This window comes from Homo sapiens, chromosome 4 (genome assembly GCF_000001405.40).
Source record: "Homo sapiens chromosome 4, GRCh38.p14 Primary Assembly".
In the NCBI taxonomy this organism is placed as follows: domain Eukaryota; kingdom Metazoa; phylum Chordata; class Mammalia; order Primates; family Hominidae; genus Homo; species Homo sapiens.
In genome coordinates this window covers 186,969,159-186,979,047 of record NC_000004.12, presented here as the reverse complement: position 1 = coordinate 186,979,047, position 9,889 = coordinate 186,969,159, and the positions used below count along the sequence as shown (strand labels likewise).

Sequence of the window (9,889 nt, the reverse complement as noted above, 5' to 3'; positions counted from 1 at the left end):
TCACTTTTTTATTTCATTAAATTTCTGCTAAAACAAAAATAGTGCCTGAAATGGACCTTCTTGAAATTCTCTTCATTTTACCTTTTTTTTTTTTTTTTTTTTGAGACGGACTTTCGCTCTTGTTGCCCAGGCTGGAGTGCAATGGTGCCATCTCGGCTCACTGCAACCTCTGCCTCCCACGTTCAAGCGATTCTCCTGCCTCAGCCATCCTAGTAGCTGGGATTGCAGGTATGCGCCACCACGCCCAGCTAATTTTGTATTTTTAGCAGCGATGGGGTTTCGCTATGTTGGTCAGGCTGGTCTCGAACTCCTGATCTCAAGTGATCTGCCTGCCTCTGCCTCCCAGAGTGCTGGGATTACAGGCGTGAGCCACCGCGCCCTGCCCATTTTACTCATTATTAACTGAGGTAATCTGATGGAATTTATGCTCTCCCACAAAGTTTAGATACAAAAATCAAAATTATTCTACTGGTTTCAGTTAGGAAATACTCAGCTGTGAACAGCAGAAATCCCCAACACTAACAAGAGTGTAGACTAGTCCTTCACCGCACAATGCCACCAGGAGCGCAGGATGCTCCCAGCTTCCCATGGTGCCATTCTTAGCAGACAGCTTTCCCCTCTGTGCTCATGACTGCAAGATGTCCTGCATTTCTAAATATCACTTTCACATTGCAAGCAGAAAGAATGTGCAGGGGGTGAAAGTAAAATGCCTTTTCTGGAGAATTCATTTTTAATATGAAAATGAAACTCTCCTTGGGAACTTCTGCTTTCATTTTCTAATCCAGACCTGTGTCCATGATCACAGTTAGCTGAAAGGCAGACTGGAAATTCAAGCATTTGCTTTCCAGAACCATGTACAGGAAAACAAGGATGAATGAGCTAAAATGAGTTTTAAGTGAGTGAATCTGAAGTATCTGTCATGCCTCATGACACAACTTTTTCCATTTTGATTATGTGGATTGATGATACCAAGGTCTTAATGGAAATGTGGCCAGATTTTTGGCTTGTATTTGTCGTTATTTACTTGGCCCATAAGTAAGCTACGTTAATCATAGTTCTCATTTTGAGGCACATAATCACCAACATTCCTCTTTAGCTAGTTGTCTACTTTATTTCAGATACTTGCCTATATTAGTTATCTATTGCTATATAACAAATTACATCAAAAGTTAGAAGCTCAAAAGAGTAAGCATTATCTCCGTGAGTCAGGAATCCAGATCGTGGCTTAGCTGAGTGTCTGCCTAAAGCCTCTGCCAAGGCTATAATCAAGGTGTCAGCAGGGGCTGCAGTCTCCTCTGAAGACTTGACTTGGGGAAGATGTTTTCAAACTCACTTACATGGTTGCAGGATTCAGTTGCCCACTGGCTACTGGCCTCCTTCATTTCCTTGCCATGTGGGTCTCTCCACAGCACAGCTCATAGCAAGGCCATTGAATTGCCACCAAGGAAGCTAGCAAGTGGGTAAGAGAGAATGACAGCAAGATGGAAAGCACAAACTCTTTGTAACCTCATCTTGGAAATGACATCTTATCCCCTTTGTCATATTCTATGCATTAGGCACTAGGTCCAGCCCATGGTCAAAAGGAGAGGATTTCGGGAAGTAGTAAATACAGCGAGGAGGGTTCAGTGGGAAACCATTTCAGAGGCTGCCTACCACATTATCTGTGCGATTTGGCACTAATTAGGTGTTATTATGAAAGTTAAACTTGGGCTGTACTCTAAGTAACTCATATGTTAACTGACTATAACTTGGATACACTGAGAAAAATCTAGAATTATTGTTGAAAATTGGTTTAGGAAAATATTATTGTAAGTTCTAAGCTCAGTTAAATTTTGCTAAAATAATTCTTTGAAAATCTACTAACTAGATTTACCCTAGTCCCTTTTCCAATCTCTAAATTGTAGGAATGATTGGATTATTTGTTACAATAATTCCTGAGAAATTTTAGAAATGTTGTCACTAAGAATAATGTCTTATTTTTATTATATTTTCAAAGTTGAAAATTAAGACATTATTCACAATTATATATTTATATAAAACATAAATTATATTTTCAACTTTGAAAATATAATAAACCAATGGTATTGATTTTAGATGTCTGTCCTGTATTAAACAACTTTCCTCAGTTTTATCATTACTAAATTTTCTTTTGATTTTACTTGGTTTTCTATTTAGAGGGTCCTATTACATGTAAATAAATAAGACTGTTTTTGCGACCCTTCTGATCCTTAGGCATCTTATTTTTTTCTTACTATCTTGCATTAACAAATACCTCCAATGTTATGTTAAGCATTTGTAGTAATAGGGTACATCTTTCTTTCCTTTTCCCATTTTTAAGTGAGTGAATTTGTAGTATCTGTCGTGACTCATGACACAACTTTTCCATTTTAATTATGTGGATTGATGATTCCAAGGCCTTAATGGAGATGTGGCCAGATTTTTGTTGTTATTTACTTGGCCCATAAGTAAACTAAACTAAACTAAGTAATTACAGCTTTCCCAATGAGTATGATTGTTACTTTAATAGAATATCTGTTATTAAAATACCATTATATTCCTTGGAAAAAATATATTCGTTATTACGAATTTTCACACATTATTAGATTTAATTGCATTTGGAAGAGTTCTCTTGTATAAGATCAAGATTATCTGTTCCTCTAAAGTTAGGTAGAACTCACATTTAAAACCATCTGGTGTTGAAGCTGTTTTAGGGGAGAAGTCTTTGATTAACTTTTAATTATTTCCCTGATGATTGTCTCATTCAAGGTTTTTGCTTAATCCTGTAACAATTTTGGTATTATATATAACTCCAGAAATTCATCAATTTTATCTAAGTTCTCCAATTTTTAGCCATTCTGTTGTTCATGATATACTTTGATCATACATTGATCCCTGTGTTATTCAAGGTCACCTGCAGATCCTTTAAAAGTAACTTTTTGTTTATTGATCTCTGATGTTTTATGCTTTTGATTTCATAAAATTTGAGGCTTTATAAATATTTACTATGTGCAGGTGTATTCTAGGTTTTGGAGTGTGAAAATCTATATGCATTTATGGGTTTGAGCTTATCAATCAGAGAGTTTTTTTCAAACCGTCTAAATCCTTCCTCTTTTTATTTTTTGTCTTTTGGATCAGTTTTTCTTCTTGAAAGTGTGTCCAAAACTCCAACTGCAATTGTTGATTTATGCACCTTTTTCTCAGAATGTATCTGTCTTCATCATAGAGGTGGATGTATACATTTCATTTTCTTTTTTATTTCCTCTTTCTTGTTTTTGTTCGTTTGTTTGTTTGTTTGTTTTGAGACGGAGTCTTGCTCTGTCGCCCAGGCTGGAGTGCAGTGGCGCTATCTCTGCAAGCTCCGCCTCCTGGGTTCACGCCATTCTCCTGCCTCAACCTCCTGAGTAGCTGGGACTACAGGCGCCCGCTAACACGCCTGGCTAACTTTTTGTATTTTTTAGTAGAGATGGGGTTTCACTGTGTTAGCCAGGATGTTCTCCATCTCCTGACCTCGTGATCTGCCCATCTTGTTCTCCCAAAGTGTTGGGATTACAGGCATGAGCCACTGCGCCCAGCATCTCCTTTCTTCATATGTATGTGTATATATACACATATATGGTATTCATATCTTTTACTTACATAGTTTAACAACTTATAATTTCTTTGTTATTAAAATTGATAATAAAAATGGATGTCTCATGTATTTTCAACTAGCTGTTTTCTTTTGTTTCAAATATCTCTAATAGACAATGTATTACAGCATCTTATTTCCTGAGAGTCTCTGTGATTTGATGTGCATGTTTAACCTATTTACATTTACTTAAATTACTGTCATACTATGATTTATTCTTGTCATCCTATTGCATATTTTCTATGTATCAACCTTTCTTCTTGTTTATTTTTTCTCCATTCTTGCATTTTATTGAAGAGAGCAATTTTTTTTCTTCTGTTTTGAAAGCCAAATTTTAACGTCTATCTTTCAGTTGGTTTCTGCTAATACCTTAAATTTCAGACTTAATTTTTTAGAGCTCATTATTATTTCTTCCCTGTGTAAAAGACAAGAACCTGAACATACTGTCCAAATCCTCTGATTTCTGCATGTTCCTGACCCTCAGCATATATTGGTATAATCTGGAACATTTCATCTGTGTTAGTACAGGGCTCTGCTGTACAATGTAGTAGCCACTAACCACACATGGCTATTCAAATTTAAATTTATTAAGGTTAAATAAAATTTAAAACTCAGTTCCTTGGCCACACTAGCCATACTTTTCATCCAACAGCCACACATGGCTATGGTCTATCATATTGAACAGTACAAATAGAATATCTCCATCAAAACAGAAAGGCCCATTGGACGACACTCTTATACACATATACAAATAATCACACACAATATTTCTTTTTTGCCATTGCTTATTTGGTTGACCTTAAACTTTCTTTTTGGAATTATTTGTTTTCTCTGTAGAAGTACTCCCTGTAGAATGTTTTCTGTAAGATTTTATGTGCCCTCGCCTTCTATGTGTCTCTTGAAATGCCTTTATTTTATTCAACCTAGTGTTTAAATAATAGTTTATCTGTATATAAAACTCTAGGTCTAAGTTTATTTTTCTTCAATATTTTTCAAATGTCACTTTAATATTCTAGTGTTACCATTCAAAAATTTGATGCTAATTATCTTAATTTACAATGAAATATTATTTCTTATTCAGATGCTTTTAGAATTTTGCCTTTGTTATTTTAAATTAAGTGTAATGTGTCAAGATTTGAGGTTTTGCTTATCAATGTGGTCTGTTGTTTTATGGAGCCATTTTGATCTGACTTTCTATCTTTCTTTAATTCTCAATTATATCTCAACAACAATGAAAACAATTCTATACTCTATTTAGTTTTATGTAGTAAATCAAAATTGACCTTTCCACTTTTAGTTTCTCTTTATTTTAGTTCTTAGATATTTTCCATCTTTTATGCCTTTATTTAAACTTGGGGAAAATTTTCCAACCAGATTCTTTATCTTACTGATTTATTCTTTGTCTATATACATTTTGCTATTATATGTTTTATTCCCATCCTCATTTGATTCTTTGTCTTCACTGATTGTTCCTGCTTCATATTTGCAATATCCTTTCCTGCTCTCTGAAGATATTTATTTTATTTCCAGTTCTTGTTTTATCTGGACCATTAATTCAGCTCTCTCTGATAAGATTCTTCAGTATCTATTTTTCTTTTAAAGGGCTAGTACTCCTCCTCAGATATATTTTTTTCTCTCTTCCTATGAGCTCAAATTCTGCTGGGAGTATGGACTACCTCAGCTAGTAGTATTCCTTTAGGAGTAGAGATGGAAGCTTAGACCTAGTATGTGCCCTCCTGCTCCTCTTTTTAGGATATACGGAAATGACGTAAGGAAATAACCTGTATTATTGCAAACCTGGAATGCTCTATTTCTACCTCAGTTCCCAACACTGCCACCCAGTGAACTTCCCATTTCTTCTGCTCAGGCGCTGCGCTTTCTGGGGTTGGCTTGATTCTGTTGTAATTATCTCATTCATTAGCAAAGAGGAAGCCGGCCTTCCCATGTGAAATGGTGGCGTCCGGGGTTCCTCCACAGCACTCGCATGTCGCCTGCCTCTTCCATGTGAAATGGTGGCGTCCAGGGTTCCTCCTCAGCACACGCATGTCGCCTGCCTCTTCATGTGAAATGGTGGCGTCCGGGGTTCCTCTACAGCACTCGCATGTCGCCTGCCTCTTCCATGTGAAATGGTGGCGTCCAGGGTTCCTCTCCAGCACTCGCATGTCACCTGCCACTTCCATGTGAAATGGTGGCATCCAGGGTTCCTCCTCAGCAATCGCATGTCGCCTGCCTCTTCATGTGAAATGGTGGCGTCCAGGGTTCCTCCTCAGCACTCGCACGTCGCCTGCCTCTTCCATGTGAAATGGTGGCGTCCAGGGTTCCTCCTCAGCACTCGCATGTCGCCTGCCTCTTCATGTGAAATGGTGGCGTCCGGGGTTCCTCTCCAGCACTCGCATGTCGCCTGCCTCTTCCATGTGAAATGGTGGCGTCCGGAGTTCCTCTTCAGCACTCGCATGTCGCCTGCCTCTTCATGTGAAATGGTGCGGTCCGGGGCTCCTCCTCAGCACTCGCATGTCGCCTGCCTCTTCATGTGAAATGGTGGCGTCCAGGGTTCCTCCACAACACTCGCATGTCGCCTGCCTCTTCCATGTGAAATGGTGGCGTCCGGGGTTCCTCCTCAGCACTCGCATGTCGCCTGCCTCTTCATGTGAAATGGTGGCGTCCGGGGTTCCTCTCCAGCACTCGCATGTCGCCTGCCTCTTCCATGTGAAATAGTGGCGTCAAGGGTTCCTCCTCAGCACTCGCATGTCGCCTGCCTCTTCCATGTGAAATGGTGGCGTCCGGGGTTCCTCTCCAGCACTCGCATGTCGCCTGCCTCTTCCATGAGAAATGGTGGCGTCCAGGGTTCCTCCTCAGCACTCGCATGTTGCCTGCCTCTTCATGTGAAATGGTGGCGTCCAGGGTTCCTCCACAGCACTCGTATGTCGCCTGCCTCTTCCATGTGAAATGGTGGCGTCCAGGGTTCCTCCTCAGCACTCGCATGTCGCCTGCCTCTTCCATGTGAAATGGTGGCGTCCGGGGTTCCTCTCCAGCACTCGCATGTCGCCTGCCTCTTCCATGTGAAATGGTGGCGTCCGGGGTTCCTCTCCAGCACTCCCATGTCGCCTGCCTCTTCCATGTGAAATGGTGGCGTCCGGGGTTCCTCCTCAGCACTCGCATGTCGCCTGCCTCTTCATGTGAAATGGTGGCGTCCGGGGTTCCTCTCCAGCACTCGCATGTCGCCTGCCTCTTCCATGTGAAATGGTGGCGCCCAGGGTTCCTCCTCAGCACTCGCATGTCGCCTGCCTCTTCATGTGAAATGGTGGCGTCCGGGGTTCCTCTCCAGCACTCGCATGTCGCCTGCCTCTTCATGTGAAATGGTGGCGTCCGGGGTTCCTCTCCAGCACTCGCATGTCGCCTGCCTCTTCCATGTGAAATAGTGGCGTCAAGGGTTCCTCCTCAGCACTTGCATGTCGCCTGCCTCTTCCATGTGAAATGGTGGCGTCCAGGGTTCCTCTCCAGCACTCGCATGTCGCCTGCCTCTTCCATGTGAAATGGTGGCGTCCAGGGTTCCTCTCCAGCACTCGCATGTCACCTGCCACTTCCATGTGAAATGGTGGCATCCAGGGTTCCTCCTCAGCAATCGCATGTCGCCTGCCTCTTCATGTGAAATGGTGGCGTCCAGGGTTCCTCCTCAGCACTCGCACGTCGCCTGCCTCTTCCATGTGAAATGGTGGCGTCCAGGGTTCCTCCTCAGCACTCGCATGTCGCCTGCCTCTTCATGTGAAATGGTGGCGTCCGGGGTTCCTCTCCAACACTCGCATGTCGCCTGCCTCTTCCATGTGAAATGGTGGCGTCCGGGGTTCCTCTCCAGCACTCGCATGTCGCCTGCCTCTTCCATGTGAAATGGTGGCGTCCGGGGTTCCTCTCCAGCACTCGCATGTCGCCTGCCTCTTCATGTGAAATGGTGGCGTCCGGGGTTCCTCTCCAGCACTCGCATGTCGCCTCCCTCTTCCATGTGAAATGGTGGCGTCCGGGGTTCCTCTTCAGCACTCGCATGTCGCCTGCCACTTCATGTGAAATGGTGCGGTCCGGGGTTCCTCCTCACCACTCGCATGTCGCCTGCCTCTTCATGTGAAATGGTGGCGTCCGGGGTTCCTCCACAACACTCGCATGTCGCCTGCCTCTTCCATGTGAAATGGTGGCGTCCAGGGTTCCTCCTCAGCACTCGCATGTCGCCTGCCTCTTCCATGTGAAATGGTGGCGTCCAGGGTTCCTCCTCAGCACTCGCATGTCGCCTGCCTCTTCATGTGAAATGGTGGCGTCCAGGGTTCCTCCTCAGCACTCGCACGTCGCCTGCCTCTTCCATGTGAAATGGTGGCGTCCAGGGTTCCTCCTCAGCACTCGCATGTCGCCTGCCTCTTCATGTGAAATGGTGGCGTCTGGGGTTCCTCTCCAGCACTCGCATGTCGCCTGCCTCTTCATGTGAAATGGTGGCGTCCGGGGTTCCTCCTCAGCACTCGCATGTCGCCTGCCTCTTCATGTGAAATGGTGGCGTCCAGGGTTCCTCTCCAGCACTCGCATGTCGCCTGCCTCTTCCATGTGAAATAGTGGCGTCAAGGGTTCCTCCTCAGCACTCGCATGTCGCCTGCCTCTTCCATGTGAAATGGTGGCGTCCGGGGTTCCACTCCAGCACTCGCATGTCGCCTGCCTCTTCCATGTGAAATGGTGGCGTCCAGGGTTCCTCCTCAGCACTCGCATGTCGCCTGCCTCTTCATGTGAAATGGTGGCGTCCGGGGTTCCTCCACAGCACTCGTATGTCGCCTGCCTCTTCCATGTGAAATGGTGGCGTCCAGGGTTCCTCCTCAGCACTCGCATGTCGCCTGCCTCTTCCATGTGAAATGGTGGCGTCCGGGGTTCCTCTCCAGCACTCGCATGTCGCCTGCCTCTTCCATGTGAAATGGTGGCGTCCGGGTTCCTCTCCAGCACTCGCATGTTGCCTGCCTCTTCCATGTGAAATGGTGGCGTCCGGGGTTCCTCCTCAGCACTCGCATGTCGCCTGCCTCTTCATGTGAAATGGTGGTGTCCGGGGTTCCTCTCCAGCACTCGCATGTCGCCTGCCTCTTCCATGTGAAATGGTGGCGTCCAGGGTTCCTCCTCAGCACTCGCATGTCGCCTGCCTCTTCCATGTGAAATGGTGGCGTCCGGGGTTCCTCTCCAGCACTCGCATGTCACCTCCCTCTTCCATGTGAAATGGTGGCGTCTGGGGTTCCTCTCCAGCACTCGCATGTCGCCTGCCTCTTCATGTGAAATGGTGGCGTCCGGGGTTCCTCCTCAGCACTCGCATGTCGCCTGCCTCTTCATGTGAAATGGTGGCGTCCGGGGTTCCTCCACAACACTCGCATGTCGCCTGCCTCTTCCATGTGAAATGGTGGTGTCCAGGGTTCCTCCTCAGCACTCGCATGTCGCCTGCCTCTTCATGTGAAATGGTGGCGTCCAGGGTTCCTCCTCAGCACTCGCATGTCGCCTGCCTCTTCATGTGAAATGGTGGCGTCCAGGGTTCCTCCTCAGCACTCGCATGTCGCCTGCCTCTTCCATGTGAAATGGTGGCGTCCAGGGTTCCTCCTCAGCACTCGCATGTCGCCTGCCTCTTCATGTGAAATGGTGGCGTCTGGGGTTCCTCTCCAGCACTCGCATGTCGCCTGCCTCTTCATGTGAAATGGTGGCGTCCGGGGTTCCTCCTCAGCACTCGCATGTCGCCTGCCTCTTCATGTGAAATGGTGGCGTCCGGGGTTCCTCTCCAGCACTCGCATGTCGCCTGCCTCTTCATGTGAAATGGTGGCGTCCAGGGTTCCTCCTCAGCACTCGCATGTCGCCTGCCTCTTCATGTGAAATGGTGGCGTCCGGGGTTCCTCTCCAGCACTCGCATGTCGCCTGCCTCTTCCATGTGAAATGGTGGCGTCCGGGGTTCCTCCTCAGCACTCGCATGTCGCCTGCCTCTTCATGTGAAATGGTGGCGTCTGGGGTTCCTCTCCAGCACTCCCATGTCGCCTGCCTCTTCATGTGAAATGGTGGCGTCCGGGGTTCCTCTCCAGCACTCGCATGTCGCCTGCCTCTTCCATGTGAAATGGTGGCGTCCGGGGTTCCTCTCCAGCACTCGCATGTCGCCTGCCTCTTCATGTGAAATGGTGGCATCCGGGGTTCCTCCTCAGCACTCGCATGTCGCCTGCCTCTTCCATGTGAAATAGTGGCGTCCAGGGTTCCTCCTCAGCACTCGCATGT

The 9,889-nt window shown here is 45.8% G+C and overlaps 1 long non-coding RNA gene across 6 annotated transcripts in view; it reads right to left on the bottom strand.

The window, feature by feature from the left end:
• Positions 1 to 9,889, bottom strand: part of LOC102723906 (uncharacterized) — a 220,555-nt gene that overhangs the window by 82,169 nt on the left and 128,497 nt on the right. The window lies entirely within an intron of this gene.